At 46.7% G+C, this 26,099-nt stretch overlaps 1 protein-coding gene across 2 annotated transcripts in view, besides 3 other annotated features; it reads left to right on the top strand.

Annotated features, from left to right (window-relative positions):
- The window catches only part of HIVEP3 (HIVEP zinc finger 3), a 529,570-nt gene that overhangs the window by 265,647 nt on the left and 237,824 nt on the right, over nt 1-26,099 (top strand). The window lies entirely within an intron of this gene.
- Nucleotides 17,728-17,917: an enhancer, noted in NCBI's record as "active region_883". NCBI's record gives its function as "activates an Ori minimal core promoter by ATAC-STARR-seq in GM12878 lymphoblastoid cells {active_cell/tissue: GM12878}" and the evidence as "EXISTENCE:reporter gene assay evidence [ECO:0000049][PMID:35858748]".
- Nucleotides 18,278-18,437: an enhancer, noted in NCBI's record as "active region_882". NCBI's record gives its function as "activates an Ori minimal core promoter by ATAC-STARR-seq in GM12878 lymphoblastoid cells {active_cell/tissue: GM12878}" and the evidence as "EXISTENCE:reporter gene assay evidence [ECO:0000049][PMID:35858748]".
- Nucleotides 19,708-19,837: an enhancer, noted in NCBI's record as "active region_881". NCBI's record gives its function as "activates an Ori minimal core promoter by ATAC-STARR-seq in GM12878 lymphoblastoid cells {active_cell/tissue: GM12878}" and the evidence as "EXISTENCE:reporter gene assay evidence [ECO:0000049][PMID:35858748]".

The raw sequence follows: 26,099 nt of genomic DNA, 5'->3' as shown, positions 1-26,099 counted from the left end.
TCTCCTTAAAGCTTTACCTTTTAATTTTAGCATTCATCTGTAATCCCAGCACTTTGGGAGGCCGAGGTGGGCAGATCACAAGGTCAGGAGATCGAGACCATCCTGGCTAACATGGTGAAACCCCATCTCTACTAAAAATACAAAAAAAAAAATTAGCCGGGCGTGGTGGTGGGCGCCTGTAGTCCCAGCTACTCAGGAGGCTGAGGCAGGAGAATGGTGTGAACCCGGGAGGCAGAGCTTGCAGTGAGCCAAGATCGTGCCACTGCACTCCAGCCTGGGCAACAGAGGGAGACTCTGTCTCAAAAAACAAACAAACAAACAAACAAAAAACAATTTTAGCATTTATCAGTGAATCTTGCCTGCTGCCATTTTTACTGTGGTATTCTAAGAGTGATTTTTCTACTTTCCTCAATTTTTCATTTATTACTTAGAATTCTTTTGTAAGAAAGAGTTGTCCCTTCTCCCCATTTATCCATTTATTTATTTATTCAATACATTATTTACATTAGTATTGACCCAAAGATTTTTATTCTTTGAGTCATAATACAATGCTATTGTTGTTTATTTTGTTACTCAAATTGTTCTACCTTTGGAATATCAGTCATTGGATGTTTTGATCATTGGAAGCTTTTTCAGGTTAGAGGTTTTATCCTTTTTACTTCCTTCCTTTGTTCCTTTCTTCCTTCTTAACTTCTTTTTTTACTTCTTTCTTATTTTCTGGCACTACAAGTTTCTCCAGGCTGGTCTTGTATTTTCTGAGCCCTAGCCTTAGAATCAGTGCTTTCTCTAAGGAATCTTGGTTCCTAGAAGACTTTTAATTACCTAAAGAGGGATGGAAAACATCATGGGATGTGCCCTAGATTTCTTCCAAAGGGCAGAGAACAGCCAGCTCTTCTGGACACATTTAGTGGGACAGGGGGAGATAAAAGTGAAGTTACTTTTTGATTGTATACTACATGACCCTTTGCTTAATGTAGCAGTAACCCTGAGTCACTAACCCCCCGTAGGGTTGGCCAGATGGGCTGAGGGAGGTGCACGTGCTTTGGAAAGTGGACAATGCTTTGCAAGTGTAAAGGCTGATTTCTGTGGCTGGCTTTTGATACACTGTTGTTTTAGTGTCCAAGGTACCTGAAAGTCAAGGAGCAAATGAAATGATTCTTGCTACAAAAGGGAACCATTTGGTGTGTGATTTTTAGCTGCTTAGGGCCATGATGCTAACAGATATTGATCAGAAAGCGCTTGCATTGCAACACGCTGGCCAAGTGCTTCTGCAGCACAAGGGACATGAGATTGGCAGGCTTCATAATATCACAAGGCCACTCTTTTCTGTAAGGGTTGGAATGGAAGCCTTGTGGGGAGACCTGCCGGATGCGGCCTGAGGTCCTGAGGAACAGCCCTGAGCTCAGAGATCAGATTGCACTGAAATACTTCTGGTTAGGCCAAGCAAAGCCAACAGGGCGGGTTTTAGACTTGCAGTGAAATATTTACATTAAATTTGGAATAGCATAGGCAAAAAACCCTCAGCTTCCTCTCTGTGAATGACCAGAAGCAGCAACTCCTCAGTGTAGAGGAGGTGAAGGCAGTTCCTCTTCTGGACTGGTAGATTTCCTCCCAGCCTGCGAGAAGAGTTCCTCTTATCCCCACGAAGGGGGTTTCACACCCCAACAAGGGAAGCTGGTTAACAAGGGTCTATATACGTCAAAGGAGCTAGCTGCTGTACTGCTAAGATCAATTCCAGCACCTTTTTATAATTCCACAAATTTACAGATTGGTAGAACTATCTAACTGGGTCTCCAAAAGAAGCTTACCTTAGATGGAGATATGGTTCGGCTGTGTCCCCACCCAAATATCATCTTGAATTATAATTCCCACAATTCCCATGTGTCATGGGAGGAACCTGGTGGGAGGTAATTGAATCACGGGGTCAGGTCTTTCTCCTGCTCTTCTTGCGATAGTGAATAAGTCTCATGAGATCTGATGGTTTTAAAAAGAGGAGTTCCCCATACAAGCTTTCTCTCCTTGTCCGCTGTCATCCATGTAAGATGTGATTTGCACCTCCTTGCCTTCTGCCATGATTGTGAGGCCTCCCTAGTCATGTGGAACTGTAAGTCCATTAAACCTCTTTTTCTTCCGAGTCTCAGTTATGTCTATCAGCAGCGTGAAAATGAACTAATACAGATGGTGTCAGCTTGAGGGGAAAGAGCAGCCAGCCACAGAGCTAGGCCTGGAATGCAGTGCTTTTAGTGTTTTGGCCTCCGTTTCTTCATCTGTAAATGACAATGAATGATGTCTGCCATCTACATCTACAATCCATCATGGCTTCATGAGCATGAAGGATTGTTATAAGGAACAAATGCAGAACTAGGAAGAACGAGGTAAAAATGAATCCTGAGCAAACTCAGCCTGAGGCTTCTTGTTCATTTCCTGACAAACACGATCCAGTGGAAAGAAACTGTACTAAGGATGGACAAGTTTGGGCCAGATGAACAAAAGCCCTGCCAGCTCAGAGAATCTGTGACTCCAGCTGCTGCTGGGTTCCTGACATAAAACAGGCACTATATGCAGATAAGTCAACTGCATGAACTGAGTGAGGGAGAAGCAGGTCAAGCAGTGTGCTTGTTCGCGGGTATTTGGAAGGGAGAGTCCTTCAGCTCTGGGAAGCACAGCAAAAATGCAGGCTAAGATTCCATGAGTCCTGATACAGAGCCAGGTGACAGCCAGGCCCTCAGGACAAAGGCAGGGCTGCAGAAGGACCCTGGAACTCTCCAGTATCAGAACTGGTGGGGCCCACACCCTCATTCTTCCCAGTGTTGCCTCCTCTGGGAAGCCTCAGCTGCTCACAGGTCAACCACACCTCTGCCTCTGTGCATGTCCCTAAAGGAGGGGAGCCTACCTTACTGTGATCCCATTGTGGAAAATTCACTCCCGCCATGAAACCAGAGCTCTAGCGGTTGGGGGAGCTGTATCTGCTTTGATTCTGTGTCCTCTTTAATCCCCAGCACAGTGCTTCCTTCCTAGTGAAAGCTTGGCAGAATTTGAGTGGAACTGAGTATAAAATGTGGAAGGAATCTTGGGGCCCAGAGGGAGGAGTCCAAATAGGAGATGGAATCAGGGTGCATAAGGATGCCCAGATGATGCATTTGATGAGATGTGGGTGTCAGACAGAAGATGAGAGGTTCAGGACCTGAGTAAGAACCATTGTGGACCACACAGGACCCAGATGGGGCAGAGGAAGTGGGATCTGGGGCTGAGTGGAACTGTGGCTGGGATCTCAGCCAGCTGCCAAAGCTGTAGTCTAGTGCGGGTTGGTGTAGAGTATCCATTGGGTAGGACAATTTTGGGGAGTCTTTCCTCCTGCGGGGTTGGTTGGGGCACTGCTTAGCAGCAGGAAGGAGGCCAGACAGATGGGGAGCTCTGTGACACTTCCAAGAGACTGTTCATTCTTGACATGGCTTCCACAAGGCTGAGAGTGTTTGGAGGTATGTTGGAGTCCATTAAGTGGATCTGGCCAGACTCCAAGCCTAGTGGAGAATGGAGTGCTCATCAGGAAAACCAAAGTAGATGCACTGCCCACTGGACTGAGCCAACACAGCAGAGAGGGAGTTGGTGATGCAGGTGCTGTCCAGATGTGCCCAGCGGCACACAAGAGCAAACCCTGCCTACACCATTGATTAGCTGTGCATCATTGTGCAAGTGAGTTCACCTTCAGTCTCTCTATTTCCTCATTTGTACAATGGGAAAATGGCACTGCCTGTCTCATACCGTGGTGGTGAGGATTAAATGAGAAAGTGCATGTAAAGTACTTAGCACAGCCTCTGACACACAGCAAGTGCTCAATTAATGGCAGGTATTGTTATGTTTAATGACACTGCCCAAAGCTTTTAAATCTCAGCACTATTGACATTTTTGGCTGAATAATTCTTTGATGTGGGGTGGCTGTCCTGTGCCTTGTATGATAGTTAACAACATCCCTGGCCTTTACCCACTAGATGCCAGTAGTAACCTCTAGTTGTGAAAACCAAAAATGTTTCCAGACATTGCCAGATATCCCCTGGGAATCAGAGGAAGCAAGACACCCCCAGTTGAAAGCACTGCACTAACTCCAGAGCCTCCAGGTGCTGGTCTTCAGACAGTGAGTATTTTTCTGGTGGGGCTGCAGCCAGAGAGTACATACCATGGCTCAGGCCCAGGGCCCACCTGAACCTGCCCAGGACTCATCAGAGGATGTGAGGCAGAGGATGGCCCTCTGCAGCAGCGGCCAAGCCCAGCTAGGGGCAAGTGCAGCAGCAAATAGTTATCAGTGCAGGAGGTGTATGTCAGCCAGCGTGGGCCAGGGCAGGCTCAGAGAGACAGCTGGAGAGAAAGAAGGAGCAGGCACACCCCAGACAGGGGTGCTCCCCGCAAAGAGAGGCCACAACATGAAGTCCCTACTGCCTGAGGGCAGGGACATTCTGTGACATATGGACCCCATGAAAACCATCAAACAGGTGGGGGGAAAGTCAATGGGATAGGAAAGATGGAGGGGGTGACATTATTGAGCACCTACTGTATGCCAAGTGTTGTACCAGGGGATTGGGAAGGTGGTGTGATAATATATAGGGTAGACCTTGCTTAGAAGGTCTAAGGCTTACAGCTTACAGGCTAATTTCTGTTTTCTTCTTTCCTTAAATTTACCAATACAGTATTTGAGACTCAAATACAAAATAAATCAACACTAAAGGTTAACTTCCAAACAAAGAGGGAACAGTATGGTGAACCATCCTATTCTTAAGGATGCTGATCCTTGGAGACCTGCCCAAAGACACTCAAACAACAGGGGAGGAGCCAGATGTTGACATCTGGCTGACTTGAGAGCTTGTGCTGTTTCTACTCTGCCAAGTTTCAGGACACATCGGGGTTAAACAACATCAGACGAGCCTGGGTAGATAATGGGGACCTCCCTCTCTGGGGAGACCTTACAGCATGAATATTCAACAGTGAGAAAGGAACAAAGTCATAGGCCAAGGGAACAGGGGTTTATAAATAGCTGGGGAGATGAGGAAGTCTGAAAAAGGAACAAGGCTGATGGGGCCAGGAGGGAAAACGTTAATTAATTAAAATAAGCCAAAGTACACTCAGAAATCTAGAGCTCTCCTCTCCACCAAATTTCTGGGAGCCCCCTAAATCCAAAAATAAAGGGAGGTCAAAGAAGCTCAAGAGGCAAGAATAAAAGAGATTGCAAGATCCAAATTCATGGTGCTGTGCACTCTGAGGTTGGCTTGCTTGGTAAAGGGTGACACAGTTGACATGACAGTTTTCTCTAAAAATGCAAGGTGATGGGCACCTAGCATCTATCCCATGCCACCCCCACCTGTGATGATGGCCCTGAGTTGTGAAGAAAGGTTGGAATTCCTCTCAGGAGATGGCTCTGGCTGCCGAGCCAGGGAGAGCGTCACTGCCATGAACCCTCCTCTGGCCTCTTGTTGGAGCACTCAGCTGACGGATTGTCAAAAACTTCTTTGTGTGGTAGTTTCCCTTCTCTACTGAGGGCCCCTGAGGACAGGGGCAGTATTTCTGGTTCCTCTCTACATTCCCAGTGCCTGGCATGATGCCTTCCCCGTAGGAGGGATGCAAAAATGTTTGTCAAATGAAGATAAAGACCTGTTTCCATCAAAAGTGCAGACAGGTTTAGCCCTTGGCGAATTCATCTTTTTTGTAAAATCAACCAACCACCCAGACTCTTATCCTTTAATTGTCACTTCTAGACAATGGAGACAGACCTCACAACCTGAACTTTCCTTGCAGGTTTCCCTCTGCAGCTGTCCCTCTGGTCACTGAGCATTGAAGGTTGACTTATCTTTCGCTTCTCCTGTCCTCATGCCCCCCACCCGCACCTTGTCCCATCAGTGAAGGCACTCAGTTAAATCCGCTCCTACGATGTTTCTTACACCTGCCTCCTTCTTTCCCTTTCTTTTCTGATTGATTTCAGGCCCTCCTGCCTGGGCTATGATGGTCACCTTCCATTTTCCAATCTTACACTCCCCTCCTAGATTAAAAGTCTCCAAACACAGTTGGGCCATGTCTCTTCCCTCCTAAGCAATCCTCATTGGCTCCCCTCATTTTTTTTCAGTTTTGTGCACATTCCCCACACATCCCTGGGGTATTCAGAGTCCCTTCTCTATCATTTGTCCCCAACCCACCCTTCCCATCTCATATCCGACTGCTTTTCCCATCTATAGCTGGGACACCAGGGCTCTGGGCCCCGCATCTGTCCTGTGCTTGTCTGCTCTCCAGCCCTGTGCTTTTGCTTATGTGATGACCTCTGCTGGGAGAGCCCTTCCTTCCCATGGCCACATGGCCACATCCTATCTTTTAAGATTCAGCCCCAAACTCAATCCTCTGATGAAGTCTTCACTGATTCTTCTCCTGCACTTTAGTTAGTAGCAATTACATCCTTTCTTGAACTTTCACAGCATTTAACCTTCACCTCTATTGTGACATTTGTCACCAAACACCAAATTGTAGTTATCGTCATTCTGTGTATTTTACCTCCACTAACACAATCTCCAAACTTTATTAATTGCATACTCTTCCAGTAAAAGTATTTTTGAGAACGTACTCCAGCATTACTATATGATATATTTTGTACATACTAACACATACACATATAAATTAGGAATTTGCAGAAGGATGTGATAAGTAGAAATAGTAGCCCTGGTATTTTCCTCCTATGCTCAATAATGGTGTATACTATACTTTGGAGACTACCAGTCTAGTGAATGAACGGTGCTTAGGCTGTAGGGGACATGAAGTCAGGGCTGTTCCCAGGGGTGGGGCATCCAACTTGAATGGAAGCAAGCATGAGAGCCAGGCAGGTCTCAGAGAGGACGAGCACTCCCTGGATGGCTGCTGCTGCAGCCAGATGGAGTGTGGCAGTTGGGGAAAGGTTTGGGGACCCCTGTGCAGGAGGGCAGGAGGGGGACGGCAGCTGGGCATAGTGCTTGCCCCAGGATTCCAGGCTCTCTTCAGTTGCCAGCCCATGTCCTCAGCAAACAGAGCCTCGGGAGAGAGGGGTGGACTGTCAGCAGCATGTCTCCTTGAGCATGCTGGAGCAGCTCTTAGCAGAGATGTTAATGCAATGTGAAAAAGAGGGTCTCTGACCCCTTTGTTATTTGATGGGCAGGAAATTAAAGCCCCAGAGAAGAGACTTGCCCAAGGTGACCATGACACTCTGATGTGTGAACTCTCCTCTCACTTGGCATCTGGCTTTTGTATTAGTGTTCACACTCTCAGGCATTCCCCAGTCACCTTGGCAGGCCTGCAGGCTCAGCTGCCCAGACCTGGCTGCACATGTGAAATTAAGCTGGTGGGCATCCAGGAAGGAGTGGCCAATTCCACCTATTCCCCTAGCTCAGCCCCCTAACATGCAAGCACATGCATACACATACATGCCTATCTAATGCAGGATATTTTCAGTGCCGCTTTGCCAGCCAGAGACCTTCATGGCTGGTGATGCCCCTGCTCACTCAAACCACCAGGCTGTGCCTGGCTTGCACTCCAGCGCAGATCCCATGGCCACAAGGACAGCGCACTCAGCCCATGGCAGAAGTGGGTGTGTGAGCAAGCAAGTGTGGGGTCCGGCTAGCTGCTCCAAGTGCCAGCACAGGAGCAGGCTTTGTGTGGGGCTTGCATTTGGACCAGGCATGTCATGACCGACTGCTGTGGTGGACTCTGGCCTCCAGATGAGGGGAATGCGGTGGCACCCAAACGGGGATGCCCACAACCCTGAAGCCCCAGAGCAGGTGTTAGAGCATGCTAACAGCTCCTTTAGTCCACTGCCCTGCTCCAGCCTGCGGATCCAGGGCTGGCCTGACCCTGACACTGCTTCCTGCTGCATGGGGTGGCTGCCCTCTGCTGATGGAGAATGGGAGGGTTACAGTGTTACAGCTTTCTTCATACTTACCTTCAGTGGGTCCCAAGTTCTTGTCCCACATCCAAGAAGAATGAGATTACACTGACAGTTGAAGGGTGAGAAGGGCATATAAGAGTTTTATTAAGCTACAAAATAGCTCTCAGCAGAGAGGGGATGTGAGGTTGGTCCCCCATCTGAAGTTGGGTGGTCTCTCTCCCTCAATGTGGCTGGGTCCGGGGCTTTTATGGGCTCAGAATGGAGCAGTGCATGCTGATTGGTTTGTGGGTATGCAAAAAAGGCTAAAACAAAGGCACCACTCAAAGGTGAGCATGACAGTGTAAAAAACCAATTAGGGAAGGGTAGGTATGTGTAAAATAGGTGAGGAGTGGGGATCAATCAGAGGAAAGCACGCCAAATGGAAAGAGAGGTTCTCAATCCAGTCCATGGATTTACCTGGGACTTGTAACTCGGCTTTCAGGCTTTAAACTGTCTTTGGTTTGAAAGTCAGTTTTTCACTAGGGATCTGCCCCTGTCTGCCTTGGGATTTGTCTGCCTCCTGCCATTATCATATCCACTCATACACTCACATGGGTGCATAAGTGCACATGCACAAATGCACATACATGTGCCTACACATATACACCCATGCACTCACATAGGCATAACACACACATGAACACATGCATATACATGCACACACACACTTATTTACTCATACACTTATGTATACACATGTGTACATGCACATTCATGTGCATACACAGCCACATCCATGCACTTACATAAGCATAACACACACATGCACACATACATGCACACATGTATATACAGGCACACATACTTATGCATACACACCTGTGAACTCATACACTCACACAGGTGCATGCATATACAAGCATACATGCACATACACATGCATACACATTCACACCCATGCACTCACACTCAGGTGTATACACACAGAGACACATGCTTATACATGCACATGCATGTGCACACATACCTATGCACTCACACATGCACACACACATGCATACACACTCATACACTCACACAGGTACATACATGCATACACATACACAACCATACACTCACACACTCACGTAGGTGTATACACACACAGGCATACACATGCACATGCATACATACACATGTACTCACATGTGCACACACACATATGCATACACACCTGGGCACTCACATAGGTGCATACACATATGCACATGCATGCGCATACACCTAGCTCAAGGACTGCTCTTGGTTAGAACCCCTTCACCAGCAATGTTCCTTCCAAATGTCCCTGTAATCTCTCTGCCCTGTAGTCTCTCTCACCAGACTGGCAGGCCTCAGTGCCTCCATGTCTGGCAATGTACACTTCTTCTCAGAGCATCTTTTATTTCCAAAAAAGAGAAGGGAGCTGAGTGTAGGCTCAAATGGCCTACATTTGAGAGGACAGGTAAAGTGGGGAGACAGACGGGACATGTTTGAGGGTCATGGGAGGAGAGTCCATGCCTACCCATCACCACTTTCTGAGCCCAAGATAGCTGAGGAAGGCTGGGGAGACCAGGTGGCTGGGCCTTGTCACTGCTCTGCCCCACTCACTCCTAGATCCTGAAGTGACCTCTCACTGTGCTGTTTGGCAGACTGTGAAACTGGGGAGAGGCATTGTGGAGCATTTGGGCATGCTCCTGGCTTAGTTGTGGAGAGGGCCCCCAAGCCCCAGGGCCCTGTACTGTGATCAGCCCCATGAGCCAATTCCCCAGTTGAAGAGAAATGTTTTCTTTCATTTATTCAATCAGCAAGTATCTATTGAGTATCTACTGTATAATAGGCCCTAGAGAAGATCCATAAAATGAACAAGCCAGAGTCTACACTCAAGTCAAACTCAGCAAAGTAAGCTCTGCAGGGCATGGAGCACAGAAGAGGGATTAACCAAGGGGTCAGGCTGGGCATTGACCTGTGGACGTGAGAGAGAAGGGTCCCAGCAGAGAAGCCCAGAGACAGAAGTAGAGAAGTTGAGAAAGGGAGGGCAGGAACCCAGGTGCAAGCTGAAAATGTGAGCACCAGTCCCCCGGCCCCCACCAGTATTGCTAAGCATTTTCTAGCAGTAGCTAAGTTGGTACCACTTTCCAGTGAATGCTTTCCATGAATTGACTGTTTTAACACTAGAGTCCTATGAGGCAGGTACTCTTATTCATCCCATTTTTAAAAATACAGGGCCTCACTATGTTGCCCAGGCTAGAGCTATGGAGTGGCTATTCACAGGTGTGATCATGGGGTACTGCAGCCTCCAGCTCTTGGGCTCAAGCAATCCTACTGCCTCAGCCTCCCCAGTAGCTAGAACCACAGGCTTGCACCACTATGCCCAGCTTATTCACCCCATTTTATAGATGAGACTGAAGCATAGGCTATAAGAAATTGACCAAGGTTTTACCATCACTGAACAATAGGGCCAGGTAGAGCCCTTACCCCCTACTACTCTAATATGGCACCTCTCGTTTTATCCATAGTCTCACTTATTATCTGATTCAATATTTAGACCACCCTGTGAGGTCCTATGTGGAAACCAAAGCACAAAGATGACCAAAGTACAAAGAAATGACCAACCCATGGTGTCACAGCTTGTAGAATCACAGTCTGACCTACACCCAGATCTTTTAAACCCTAAGACTCTGCTACAGGCTTCCAAGGCACAGACTGGGATGCCTTGGGTGCCTGTGCCAGAGCACAGACTGAGGTATCAGATGCCTTATAAGAGTGAGTGTGGGTGGAAAACCTTTTGGAGGTTCCTGAATAAGTTAAACATAGAGTTACCATATGACCCAGCAATTCCACTCCTAGGTCTATACCCCAAAGATTTGAAAATAGATATTCAAAGAAAAACTTGTACATGAATGCTCATATCTGCACTATTCACAATATCAGCACTATTCACAATAGCCAAAAGGTGGAAATAACCCAAATCTCCATCAACAGATGAGTGGATAAACAAAATAGAATATATCCATGCAATGGAATATTATTCAGCCATAAAAATGGATGAAATTCTGATACCTGCTACAACATGGATGAACCTTGAAAACATGCTAAGTGAAAGAAGCTGGATACAAAAGGCCATATATTGTGTGATTCCACTTATATGAAATACCCAAAATGAGCAAATCTACAGAGATATTAGGTTGGTGCAAAAGTAATTGCAGTTTTTGACCTTAAAAGTAATGGCAAAAACCGCAATTACTTTTGCACCAACCTAATAGAAAGCAGACTGGTGGTTGCCAGGAGCTGGAAAGGGGGAAATGGGGAGTTACTGCTAATGATTATGGAATTTCCATTTGAGTCATCAAAAAGTTCTGGACCTTGATAGTGGTGATGGTTGCACAACACTGCGAAAGCACTTAATGCCACTGAATTTTATACTTTAAAATGGTTAAAATGGCAAATGTTATGTATCTTTTACGACAATTTAAAAAAGATGGGAGTGAGGGAGTCATTGGTCACAGTACACTATGGGGGAGCAGTGGGGCCAGTACCCCCCATTCTCCTAAAAGGGAGGTGTCTAAGATTCTAGCAATGTCTTTAAATTTTTCTGAGTGCTTCAGAGAAAATCTTACAAATCAATCACTGCTAGTTCCCATATCCTTTCATCACAAATGGCATAACTACTACCAGTTTGTCCAACATGATGCTGTTTTGGCTTTATGCCCACTGCCTGGAGGTTCCCAAACCCCACAATGTATCACAATCACCCAAGGAATTTGTAAAATGACATTCCTGGGCCTCGGCCCAGAGACTTGGGTTCAATGGTCTCTAGAACTTGGGTTCTGGTCCCCAGAGACTTGGGTTCCAAGGTCGGAAATCTATATTTTATAAAGCTTCCTAGGAATTGTGATGCAGCCTGTCTTCAGACAGGTCTTTTGGGAACCACTACCTTGGTCCATTGAAGCGTGGAAGGCTGTGCATAAGATAGGCCCTGGTGGATAGATGTGTCTGCAGGTTTCTGTCCTGTGTCCTCCCCCAGCCCCTCTCCAGAGGAGATTTGGACCAGGACTGATGCCTTCTCTCCCCATTCCCTGTGTACCTGGCTCATCATTCTATCATCTCTCTGGCTTATAGGGGGCCTCACTATTGTGAAGATCTCTTATGAGGGTTCTCACTCCAGACATAGTGTCCCTCACACCAGAGCCCTGGGAATGGTCTTCAGACCCCACCAAAACCTGTCCGGGGAAGGCAGCCTTGGTTGGATGTCATCCAACTGCACCACCCCCACCTTTGCCCAATCAGGCCAGAGATCTCCACAGCACATTCTCCACTTTGTTTGTGATTGTGTACTTCAAAAATATATATTCCATAAAGAATATATAATTGTTATTAAAAAGTAGAAAGTAGGCTGGGAGCGGTGGCTCACACCTGTAATCTCAGCACTTTGGGAGGCCGAGGCAGGTGGATGACCTGAGGTCGGGAGTTCAAGACCAGCCTGACAAATGTGGAGAAACCCTGTCTCTACTGAAAATACAAAATTAGTGGGTGTGGTGGCGCATCCCTGTAATCCCAACTACTCTGGAAGCTGAGGCAGGAGGTTAGTTTGAACCCAGGAGGCAAAGGTTGCAGTGAGCTGAGATCGCACCATTGCACTCCAGCCAGGGCAACAGGAGTGAAACTCCGTCTCAAAAATAAATAAATAAATAAATAAATAAATAAATACAAAGTAGAAAATATAAACAGACTGAAGGGGCTGTAATTAATCAACCAAATCAACCAAAATTCCTCCATTCCCCTATTCTGAGATAACCATTGTTTTGGGTTTTGTTGTTGTTTTTTGTTTATTTGTTTTTTGAGACACAGTCTCAATCTGTTGCCCAGGCTGGAGCGCAGTGGCATGAGCATAGCTCACTACAGCCTCAAACTCCTTGGCTCAAGTGATCCTCCTTGGTACTACAGGTGAAACCACCACTCTCAGCTAATTAAAAAAATATTTTTTTGGGCCGGGCACGGTGGCTCACGCCTGTAATCCCAGCACTTTGGGAGGCCGAGACGGGTGGATCACGACGTCAGGAGATCGAGACCATCCTGGCTAACATGGTGAAACTCCGTCTCTACTAAAAATACAAAAAAAATTAGCCGGGCATGGTGGCAGGCGCCTGTAGTCCCAGCTACTCGGGAGGCTGAGGCAGGAGAATGGCGTGAACCTGGGAGGCAGAGCTTGCAGTGAGCCGAGATCACGCCACTGCGCTCCAGCCTGGGCCACAGAGCGAGATTCCATCTCCAAAATAATAATAATAATAATAATAATAATAATAATAATAATTTTTTAGAGACAAGGTCTTGCTATGTTGCCCAGGCTGGCCTCATACTCCTGGCCTCAAGTGATCCGCCCTCCTCTTTGAGATCCTGCCCTCTATAGTGCTGGGATTACAGGCATGAGCCACTGACCCCAGCCAACCATTGCTAATATTTTATTGCAGAATAACTTTCTAGACTTTGCAAATGTGTGTGTATATTATTTGTTTATTCAACAAATATTTATTGAGTGCCTACTTTCTGTCAGGCACTATACTGAGATCCAGGGATTCTGGAGTAAATGATACGGACAAAAATCCTTGCCCTCAGGGAGCTTGCAGTCTATATATTCATATAACTTTTTATTTTTTAAAGAACCATATGGTGCTTTTAAGTAATCTTTTCCCTTTAAGAGTATATTGAGAAAGTCTTTCCATATCAACGAATGTAGAACTACATCATCATTTCAATGATTGTATAATATTCCATTGGATATATTTATCCTAGTCTATTTAACCAATTATTGGCATGAAGAGGTTTGTTCTAAGTTCCCACTGTTATAAACAACTTTGAAATGATCCTGTTTATCCAGGGATCTAGGGCTCTTTGGTGCCTTTTTAATATTACCTTAGGATAAGTTTGTAAAAGTGGAATTTGGAAAAAGAACCAGGAATCAATCCGTGGTTTTGATACTGTATTGTAGTAGGCATACAGGTCTATGTCATTTTATCACGTTACTTCATCACATGTGTAGATTCACCAAAATCAAGATACAGAACTATTCCATCACCTGAAAGATCTTCTTACTGCTCCTCTTTATAGTCATACTTTTCCCATCCCCCAGTCATCCCTGACTGTTGGCAACCACTGGTTTGTCCTCTATCTCTATAATCATACATTAGATGACCTTTTGAGATCGGCTTTTAAAACTCAGCATATTGCCCTTAATATTTATCCGAGATCTGTATAACAACAGTCTGTTCCTTTTAATCACTGAGTAGTATTCCCTGGTATGGGTGTACAATTTGTTTAACTAATCACCTATTGTAGGCCAGTTGTTGGCTTTTACAAACAAGGCTGCTGTGAGCATTCAAGTACAGATTACGTGCACACAATTTGTATTTGTTTGAGATAAATGCCCAGGAGTATTACTGTCAGGTCTTATGCTAACTGTATGTTTAGTTTTTTTAAAGAAACTGAGAAACTATTAATATTTTTCAGTGTAGCTATATCATTTTATATTCCCACCGGCAATGGACAAGGGATGCAATTTCTCCGCATTCTTTCCAGCATTTGGTATTGTCAGTATTTTTAATTTTAGCTGTTTTAATAGCCATGTAGGGGTATTTTATTGTAGTTTTAATTTGTATTTCCCTAATGGCTAATGACATTGAACATCTTTTTACGTGCTTATTTGCCATCTGTATATCCTCTTCGGTGAAGTGTTCATTCATGTCTTTAGCCCATTTTCTAATTAGATTGTTTATTGTTTTGGGTGTTTTTTTTTTTTTGACTGCTGTGTTTTGAGAGTTCTTTGTATGTTCTAGATATGAGTCCTTTGTCAGATTTGTTGTTTGCAGATATCTTCTCCTAGTCCATAGCTTGCCTTTTCATTCTCTTAACAGGGTCTTATGCGAAGCAGTTTTTAATTTTGATGAAATTCAATTTTGTGGATTTTTTTTCTTTTATGGATTGTGCTTTTGATATCACACCTAAAGACTCTTCACTGGGCTCTAGGTCCTGAAAATCTTCTCCTGTGTTATCTCTGAATGTTTTATGGTTTTGCATTTTATGTTTAAATCTATTACCTCTTTTGGATGAAATTTTGTATAAAGTGGAAGGTTTGCATTGAGGTCCATGTTTTCCTTATGGATAGCTAATATTTCTAGCACCGCTTGTTAAAAAAAAACTATGCTTCCTTCATTGAATTGCTTTTTTGCCTTTGTCCAAACTCGGTTGGCTGTAGCCATGTGGAACTATTTCTGGGTTCGCTATTTGTTTCCAGTGACCTATGTATCTGTCCTGCCAATACCACACATTCTTGATTACTGTAGCTATATCATGTCTTAACATCAGGTAAAGTGATGCTTCTCACCTTATTTTTCTTTTTTCAAAATTGTTTCAGTGTTCTGGTTCCTTTGGCATGTACTTTTTCAAGGCTTGTGATAACGTATTACCAAACTGCTCCTGAAAGGTGGTACTAATTTAAACTTCCGCTGCAGTGTAGGGGCGCTTGTTTCCATACACCCACACCAACCCCGGCTGTTATCATTTTAAAAAATCTTTGCCTATCTGATAACTGAAAAATTATTCACATCCTTATTTTAAATTGCATTTCTTTGGTTGCCTTTGAACCTAAGCAGGCAGCCAGTGCCCCCAGATCTGAGTAGAAGAGTTTGGTACCTTGGTGATATCAAGATTCACATTTGAGGTTTCAGAAATGTCCAACAGAGTGAGCAGGCAGGTTTGTGTGGCGACCCCTGCTGACTCCTTTTTCCCTCTGAAGGTATATTGCACCCTCTCTTCCTTGCTTATTGTCGCTCATCTCAGCTTCTGGAGACTAAGTCGTCTGTCCAGGCAGCCACACGTACGGCAGGCAGGCATCGCTCTGCAGAAAAGCCCAAACGTATTTTCAAATTGTACTCAAAAGTTGACCACTTCTCACCTCCATTGCCATTACCTTGGCTCACTTGCTGCTATCTCTAGCATGCAAAGACTATTGTTGTGATAGCCTCCCAACAGCATTGCAATCTGATCCTTGTCTCCTGTGCTCTTGTCTCAAAGGGCAGTGGAGTCTCTTCACCACCCAGAAGCCAGAGGGTTGCCTCTAAAACACAAATCAGGGGTCCTCCTCTGCTCAAAATCCTCCCTTCTCACCCAGAGTGAAAGCCAAAGGTCCTGGGTGGCCTGCAAGGTCCTGCACGACCCTGATGGCCAGGTCCCACTCTCCTTGCTGGGTCACCCTGCGGCAGCCGCTATGGTGTCTTTGCTGTTCCTCAGACCCACCCAGAATGCCGCGTGCTCTTGCTCTTTTGCTGTTTCCTTCTGTCTGGAAGACAGTTCTCTCTGCCCAGAATGTCTTCCTCAGCTGTCCACAGAGCTCACTCACTTCCTCACCTTCCCTCTAGTCTCCATCGGCACTCACCTCCAGCATTGCCTTTGCTGCCTTCTCCTCTTACCCCCACCACCCGCTGACCCACAACGGATATTGCACTTGCTTACTGGTTCCCTGGTTGTCTCCCCTCCCAGAGGACAGAGATTTTGTTCATTCATTCACCGGCTGCTGTATGCCTAATGTCTAATACACTGCCTGGCACATGATGCCTGCTCAATAAATACCTGAATGAATGAAAATGAACGGCCACCTAGTAAACAGCCCCTCATTAGAAACGCTTCCATTGTTTTCTATTTTTATTTATTTATTTATTTATTTATTTATTTATTTATTTTTGAGACGGCGTTTCTCTCCTGTGTCCCAGGCTGGAGTGCGATGACGTGATCTCGGCTCACTGCAACCTCCGCCTCCCGAGTTCAAGTGATTCTCCTGCCTCAGCCTTCCAAGTAGTTGGGATTACAGGCACATGCCACCACACCCGGATAATTTTTGTATTTTTAGTAGAGACGGGATTTCACCATGTTGGCCAGGCTGGTCTTGAACTCCTGACCTCAAGTGATCCTCCTACCTCGGCCTCCCAAAGTCCAAAGTGCTGGGATTACAGGCGTGAGCCACCGTGCCCGGCCCATTGCTTCCAATTTTTAAAACAAACAATGCTAACATGAATATCCTTGGAGTGAATTACTCATACACAGTCATGATTATTTCCTTAGGATTAATTTCTAAGATTGAATTGCTAGGTCAAGGGGATGCACATTAAAAAAACACTTTTGACAGGTATTTCTCCAGAAAGGCAGTATCAATTTCCATACTTACCAGAAATGTGTGACTGTGTCTTTTTCCCTACACTCCCACCAATGCTGGGTCTTGTCATTTTTAGAAAGTCTTTGCCAAGTTACCTGCCACTGTTCTCACGTGAGTTTTTACAGAAGGAGTTTTGTGTAACTTGATAGAATACAACCGCTTTACAGCAACTCAGAGACAGTCTTTCTGTGGTTGTAAACACGCTCAATAAAACCCAAAGGCAGTGCCCAGCGATGTAGCCAGTGGAGCAGCAGCCAGGCTAGTAGCCAGACTCAGATGTGGATCTTTCCCTGAGCCTAACACTTTGTAAAGTGAGCACTGAGATTGTCCAGCGGAGAGAAGGGACGCCAGATTATTTAGAACACTTTCCTGAATTGTTACTTTTCCTAGCCAAGCTTTGAATAGAACCCAGAGAGGTCAGAGTTCAAGGTTTTGCTGTCTTCTAAGGCCTGCCCTAAGCCAAGGGTTCTCAAACTGAGAGTGCCTCAGAATCACCTGGAGGGCCTGGGCTTGTTCAAACACAGACTGCTGGTTCTGTCGGTCTGGGACAGGCCCAGGGATTTGCATTTTTAACAAGTTCCCAGATGACGCTGATGCTCCGGGTTCAGGAACCATACTTTGAGAACTGCTGGCCTGGAGTGTTGGATGTATTTTGTCTGCCTCCCACTGGGTCTTTCCCTCAGCCCCCTAGGCTGGGTTAGGCACCAGCCCCTGTGCCCCATGGGAGCTCCATCGCCGTGCTGACCACATCACAGTCAGAGCCGCAGTCTTCCCTGGTCTTTTTCCCCTCTTTGGAGGTGGACCCTGGTCTAGGCCCCTGGTTCATCTCAGTCCACCCAGAGCCTGCTGAGCTGCTTGGCACAGAGGCATTCAGTGAGGGCTCCCCAGAAGGGTGAGGAGCTATTGCGGAGCCTCCGTGGGTGACTGCCACAGACTCCATGTGTGCTGACCAGGGAGGTGCAGCACAGAGGTCACCCTGTGGTTTTGAAAGTCAGTCATCCGGATTCATTCTCACTTCCTCTGATCGTTGGATTCTGATGTCATCAAGAAGATTTTCGGAAATCAAACAGAAAGGCAGTCCAGTGGACTTGTTGTGCAGTGAGGAACCAGAGAAGGAGAGGGACTAACTCAAAGTCACACCCCTGAGTGATGACATAGGTAAGACTTGAACCCATCACCTCCCCAGCAGTCTTCTATAAAGAAGGTGGAGTGAGAAGACAAATGTGATATGGACAGGGTCATGTTGGAGAACAGGCCTGGATCCTCCACCCACCACAGGCTTTGGACCCTCCACCCATCACAGGCTTTGGACAACTCCCTCTCTTGGGGCCCCCACTTGCTCATCGGCAGCCTGAGTATGATACCATCTGTGTGATGCTTTTGTGTGGATTCACTTTGGTCACTTGTGCAGATGGGCCTAGTGCTGTGCCTATGGGAAGCATTAGACACTCTCCTGCCTCGCCATGACTTCTGTTGGGCTTTTCATGGTCCCTTGCCCACCACTGAGTGCTGTTGTCCCAAAGGGCAGTAGCATCTCTGGTCACACTTTGGCTGGGTGAGTCTTAAGCTCCAAGAGAAGGACAGGGGAAAGGTTGAAGAACGCACACCTGAAGGTGCAGGTGGGGCCTCATGTGATGTCAACCCTGCTCATTTCGTGAACTTCCCTTCCCTCCTCACCACATCCTCCTGGGGTTTTTGGTGTCAGAGCTCAAGGGGAAGGTGCAGGCAGAAGTTAAATATAGAAAGGCACCTACTCATGGTGAAATGCGTGGGCTGAGCCCTGGGTGAGGGGGCGTAAGCATCTGCTAAATTTAGCAGGCTGACTTCCTCTCCTCTTCCCTTGCATGCCATTATGCAAAAAAAAAAAAAAAAAAAATGTGTGTCAGTTTCCCTCGGGATGAATTCAAAGGGTGAAGAGGAGAAGTTGGAAATAAAGCCTGCCAGTTAATCACGACCTCTGGCCCCTGGATGGTCCCATCTGTTGTCACTTTTTATCCTCAGAGCAGTTCTATGGGCTGGGCAGGGAGGGTGTTGCTGATCTTGCTTTACAAGTGAGGATGCTGAGCCCCAGAGAAACCAGGGACTTGGCCGGTCATTGCATGGTAGAGCCTAGACATGAACTTCGGGTTTAACACGGATGCCCATGTCCGTTCTTACGAACCTAGTCCAAGGGTGCACTGGGGGCCGGGTGCGGTGCGGTGTCTCACACCTGTAATCCCAGCACTTTGGGAGGCCGAGATGGATGGATCACTTGAAGTCAGAAGTTCCAGACCAGCCTGACCAACATGGTGAAACCCCATCACTACTAAAAATACAAAATTAGCCAGGCGTGGTGGTGCATACCTGTAATCCTACACACCTGTAATCCCAGCTACTTGGGAGGCTGAGGCAGGAGAATCACTTGAATCCAGGAGGCAGAGGTTGCAGTGAGCTGAGATCGCACCATTGCACTCCAGCCTGGGCGACAGAGCGAGACGCGTGTCAAAAAAAAAAAAAAGTGCACTGGGCTTGGTAGCTCAGTAGGTGATAAAGAGTGCCCAATCTACAGAGATTTTCAAGGGTCTTGAGTGGTTTGGTAACTGCAGGTGGGAAGCCTACAAGCTAATGAATATGAGTGGCAATGAACCAAGGCCCGGCTACTCAGTCCAGCAGCAATGGCCTCGCCTTGGAACCTGGAAATGCCAAGGCCCAGCCCCAGCCCAGACCTGCAGAATCTGATTCTGCCTTGTAACAAGGTTCCCAGATGATGCACACACTGGAGCTTAGGAAGCCTTGGATTAATGCTTTGAGTGGGCTCACTTAGAGAATCAACTAATGGAATTTTGGACTCCAGTCATTCATTCCTTCACTCCCTCGTTTATTCAGCTGCCATTTGTTGATGAATTCCATGTTTGTGGACTCATGTTAGAAGTTGTGACAGAAGATAGCTGCTAACACTTACAAGTGCTTGCTGTGGATCTGGCGAGGTGTTGTAGGTTTATTAATTTGTTTAATCATTACAGAGACCCTGTGGGGTAGGTGTGTGCAGTTTGTAGAAGAGGAAGCAGGCTAGAGAGTTTTAGGCAACGTGCTTAAGGTCATGGCGCTTAATGAGTGGCAGAGCCAAGATTCCACCCAGGTTCTGACTCTTAACCAGGAGGCTCCACCGCCTCTAAGGATTACAGAACCAGAGCAGCTTGGTGCTGCTCAGGGCTCAGACCTCACAAGCCAGAAAGGTTCCAAGTGATCAACTGGGCCAGGGTTTTGTTTCAATTTTGGCTTTAGGCTACAGAGCCATTTGCTCATGTAACATTTCATGCAGATTCTGTGAGAGCTAGAGCTGCTGTTGTTGGACAGAGGTGACCCCCACATACATTTCACCCCCAAGGCCACACCACTCTCCCCTGTGCCCCCGGAGCTCCGTAGAGCACATGCTGAAGCCACTCACAAGTCCAACTTATTTGTTTTGCAGATGGGAAGAACAGGGGCTAGAAAGCGAGATGTCTTATCCAAGATCACATAGCTAATGAAGACCAAATTAGTTAGGGCTATGTGAGCCCCAGGTGAGCTCTGTTCCGTGGGGTGAGGGGATGGGAGGATTTCGCGCCAGAGAGCACACGGCTGATCTATGTAATGACATTTCACAGGGAAAACCCTTTGTCATAGCATTTCTAAATTTTCTTAGGAATGAAGGAGCCTCAGTGAAACTATGTTGACAGCTTGACAGCTACAGGCCCTCTCTCTAGAATTATTCTCATTCTCTCTGTCTCCTTCTCTCTGTCTCTCCATCACACACACACACACACACACACACACAATTTTTTCTAAGGTTTCAGAGAGTCCAGAGAGCCTTTGAATCCTGGAAGAAACCCTCAGGTCAGGAATCATATGCATTTTTTGCCTTTGCTGAAACCCACCCAGGGGAAGTGAGAGGGGCTCATGGGTAAATGGTCATGGATGCCAGAGGGTGACCCATCCCTACCAGGAGTGCCAAGTGTGAAGTCACAAATTTCAAACAAACCTCTTTTTACACCCATCATACCTTTTTATGCCTTTATACCTTCTAGTGGGTGACATTCACTGTCTGCAGCCTATTGGAGGGTTAGAAGGAATCCCTGTCATGACTGAAAATAGAGACCCCTTGTTCTGTCTCTAACAGGGTGGACAAGAGAGAGACAAGTGTATATTGACTGGGGGCAGATCATCTTTGTGTGGGCAGCAAGCAGCCCTCATTTGTGGCACCTGTCTCAGATGCTTGCGGAAGGCACACACACTCTGAGCCCAGCTGAGTGGTGGTCCTCCTGTGTGCACTGCTCCCCTGAGAGTCCTCAAAGCCAATGAGATGGAAAGTGGTATCCCCATTTTACAGACAAGGAAACTCAAGCCTCAAAGAGGCCAAATAAGAAGCCTGAAGGACCCCGCTGGTGGGCGGCAGGGGGTCTGTGGCATTCTGACCAATATCTGTGTCTTAGAAGAAGGCTGCTAAGTTCAGACCCCAACAATTCAGCAAGCCAGCTGGGTGACCTCTCTGAGCCTCCTGCCTCCATCATGCAATGGTGACTGTGATAGTATCAACGCCATAGAGCTAGCATGAAGATTAGCATAGCCTAAGCACTTAGAACAGTACCTGGCAGGTGACAAGTGCTCAGTAAATGTTAACCGCCCTTATTGTTGCCATGATGGTGATGACAGTCATGATGATGTTACTCTAAAGTCTCTGTTCACAGCGCTGCCCCCTGATTGCTTTGTGCAGGTGAGTGGACCACAGTTTCCCATTCAATAGTTGAAGGAGGTGGGGCAGAGATGAGGAAATGACCTCTCCATGGTCATGAACAGAACAAAGATATGTGTGGCTTTGGTATGTCATTGTTCCATGAAACTAGGGTTTCTGGTCACCTTCCTAGCCCCTGGCTTCTTCATTTACTCTCCCTGAAGCTGAGGGAAAGTAACAAGGGTGGACAAGAGAGGGACAAGTTCCTCACCCAGAGGAACCTAAAGCCAGTATTCCAGGGTTGTAGCACCAATCCAGCTTGTGGAAAGGCCCTGCCGTGACTTCTGACGGGCTTCCCACCTTGCATTTGTGACCAGTCTCACCTTTCATTTATTAGGTGCTTAGTCCACACCAGGCACTCAAGACTGAAAGACATATAATGTTTATATATGAACCATGTGCCTGCCCTGGCCTTAACTCAAGAATGGGGGATCCTTCCATTGCTGTCTGGTTCCTATTCTCTGGATTCTCTGGATCATCCGTGCTGGTGGCCTTCTTCCATCTGATTACTGCCTTAAGACCATCAAGTGCTTCCGAGTGGAATCACTGGGTCAAAGGGAATGGTATCCTTTTAAGCCTTTTGATCCATGTTCTTAATTGACCCCAGAAAGACACTATTTTAAAGATGCTCATAGCAGCATTGTTTACTGTAAAACCAGCAATAGTCTATCAGTAAGGTTGATTTACATAAAATGGGAGCCATCTACACAACACAATACTATGCAGCTATTAAAGATGGTGACATAGGTGTATATTCAATGACTTGAAAGATACAGATAATATATCAATAAAAGAAAAAAGTAGTATAGCTGATAGATGTAAAAACTAAAATCAAACTGCATATGTGTCTAGAAAAAGGTCTACCAGAAGGACACTCACATGTGAATGGTGGTGATCTCTAGGATGGGATCATAAGTCATTTTTATTTTCTTTTTATACTTTCTGAAATTTTCACAGTATGTACTATTTTTATAATCAGGAAAAAATGGATTCTTTCCACTTTCCTCATCCCCCTGCCAGAAATGCAGGTGAGAGTTGCCAGTAGCTTTGGAGGTAGGCAGCTGCCAGATTGGGTCCTGGGTGACTGGCACTGCCATGGGTGCATGGCAAGAACTGGCAGGATCAGTTGGGAGCTGGGGGTGTCCTGCAGCACTCCTCTCTAGGTACTGACCAGCCCCAACATGTTCTCAGAATAAAATGCCTGTGCTGGCCCAGCGTACCACCCCTCACCCTCACTGCCCTTCTTCCTAGCCCTGAGGTCTGCCTATTGGCACTTAGCTTCTTACCCTCTCCCCTGCCTCTCTCCTGCAGCAGGTGTTTGGCCTTTAAATCTGACAGGCCTGAATTCCTATCCTGCTGCTGCCTCTCACAGGTGGGAATCCTCAGTTTCCTCATCTGCAAAATGGGAGTCATAGTGCCCACTTTGTAGGACCCCAGGGTGATTTCATGCTCCCTGACCCATGGATCCTCGAGCCGGGGGTGATGCTGTTACACCAGGTCACATGCTGGCCCTCCTGACTTGCTCATTCTCTACTCTGTGCACCTGCGAGGGAACCAGGGCATTTATACCCTGCACCCAGCAGCCGTTACCTGAGGGCTGGCCCACGGCTGAGATAGTGATAGTGGCAGCCATTAATTCCCAAGAACTTCCAGTCCTCTGTGCATGCAAAATTGAGGCCAAGAGGTCAGGCTGGAGTGCAAGGAAATGACAAGAGACAGGGGAAGGGGCCAAGCTCCAACAGTGTCTGCTGCAGACCTGGGCAGTTTGGCTTAGCTAAGTGCCATTGCCCCATGCCATGTGTCTCCCCACACCAGACCACTCATAGGTTACAGCAGCCTAGAAACAAGTGCCTTGAGTCAGGAGCCACCGAAGCCCAATTGGGACCTGCCATCCCCATGCATAGCTTCCCTGGACAGAAGCTCTTGCACCCCATGCTCATAGGCATAAATAAATAGCATTTAAGTGCCTTAGATTCTTCTTATTGGAAGGAATGTGACTGGGAAGTTGAAATGGGGAGGGGAGCAAGTCCCCAATGCTCTTTCTTCCTGTGCCAAGCAAAGAAGAGAGAGGACTTCACAGCCAGTCCCATTTCCCCAGCAAACATGTCACCTTTTGAAGCCCTTGGTTTCTAATCTGAAGCAAACGGGGTTGATGGAAAGTTGGTGTGAGAAGTAAACAGATAATAAATGCGAGGTGATTAGCAGAGACCCAGTCATTTGGTACCCATTATTATGGCAAGATTTTTTTTTCTCTAAATACAATTAGTGGTTTATAATCTATGGCTCTTTTTACTGCATTAGCCACAGAGGGAAACCATGGGGGCAGCAGGCAGTCCATCAAATGATTGCTTCAGAGTGGAACAAAAGGGTGGTGGAGGCACTGCCAATGCATGATTAGGGCCAGAAGTGCCCCAGAATCATCTCAGCCAGGGGCTGGCTGCTGGTGCTTTGTGACTTAGCCATTCATTCGTTGACCATTCCTTCATTTATTCATTTAACAGATACTGATTGAGGATTCTTGATGCCAGGCATCATGGTAGGGACCAGATCTGCTAGGATTCACTGACAGGCCCTGAAGCCTCAGCAAGGAGGCCTGTGAAACAGCCGCATCTGCTTTCTCAGGGGATGTGTTATATTCCCTCCGGTGGAAAGAGGAGAGCCTCTGGCCAGAACATTCCTCCCATATTCCCACCCCCACAACCCTGCTCTAATTCAGGCTTTTATCATCCACGTCATCCTGCCCTTCACTGGGGTCCTCAGAGACATCAGCTGCCTGGAAAGGGGGCCCAAGAGCCACAGGGACCCCTCCCTCTGTCGAGGAAAGACACGTGGTATGTCTATAGCAAGTCACGATTAGAATTCCAGGGGTCTCCTCTGCCCTGTGCTCTCGACTGTGGATGCCCTTGTCTCCAGGGTCAGAGCAGAGTGTTGGAGGCCTAGTGGATCTTCAGTGTAGACCTGGCCCATCTTTCAGGTGAATAATTGAATACATGTATATTTTACCACATGGGTAGATACATGCATAGATTGCAAAGCAGAATTTTATACATGCATGGCTTTTAACGATCAAACAGGAGACTAAAGCCCTTTTGGCTTATGGGGACTGCTTTGGGGATGTCCCTGGAGTTCCCTGAGGGACATCTTTCAGCATCCTCCCACCTTAGGGCTGCTTTTTCACCATGTGATCTGTGGGGGCAGTGACCTCCTGTGCTCCACCTGCCCAGTGGGGTGAGAAAGGACACGGCAGACTTAGGTTAGAGAAAGGGGAAATGTCTTGAGTATGGGTTTTGAGAGGGTTAGAGAAAGTCACCATCTCTGAGTCATTTGGGCCCAAAGTCCAGAGAGAAGAAACTGAGGGAAAGGAACCATCTCTCTCCCTTGATAGTGCTGGGACCCCCAGGTTCTGGCTGGAGCTTACACCTTCCAGAACCACAATCCTGAGACTGGCTGACATCCAAGCTCTTCTGAGATCCACGCCACTGGCTTCTTGACTTCCTCAGCCTCTGTTCACATGGCACCTAATCAGAGACCTTCCTCTCCCACCCTTCCCCCTGCCCCCTGCCTTCTACTCCTGTTATCCTCAAACATGGCTTGGTTTGCTTCTCAGCACTTGGAAGCACCTGGCAGGTTAGATATGTATGTGTTGGAATGTAATATGTTAGATATGTATGTGTTGGAATGTAATATGTTAGATATGTATGTGTTGGAATGTAAGTTCCATGAGAAGGTGAACTGTCTTCTTGTTCACCCCTTGAATGAGCCCACCCTATAAAACCACGCTTAGCCGCAATCTCACTGATCAATACATCGACTGAGTAGAATTTTCAGAAAAACAAAAGCAAATCAAACAAGAAAATCCAGCAAGAACATGAGCTTCCGTTAGACATTAAATACCAAAACATAGCTTCTGAGGAGTATCAGGAACTCAACCCCATTTGACATAAACTCCTAAGTCTCCCATCTGGCCAGCACACCCTGATCATGGCCAAAGACTGGCACCCGCCAAAGACTGGCACCTCCAGCATGCAGGAACTAGTTTGATTCAGCTCTTCCACTGCATGCAGTAGGCACTTAGCAAAAGTTCAGTGACATAAATTTTAAAAGGCTGGCTGGGCCAGGCGTGATGGCTCACACCTGTAATCCCAGCACTTTGGGAGGCTGAGGTGGGTGGATCACGAGGTCAGGAGATCGAGACCATCCTGGCTAACATGGTGAAACCCCATCTCTACTAAAAATACAAAAAAATTAGCCGGGCGTGGTGG

Source organism: Homo sapiens, chromosome 1, assembly GCF_000001405.40.
Source record: "Homo sapiens chromosome 1, GRCh38.p14 Primary Assembly".
NCBI lineage: Eukaryota > Metazoa > Chordata > Mammalia > Primates > Hominidae > Homo > Homo sapiens.
This window is presented reverse-complemented; position numbering and strand designations above follow the sequence as displayed.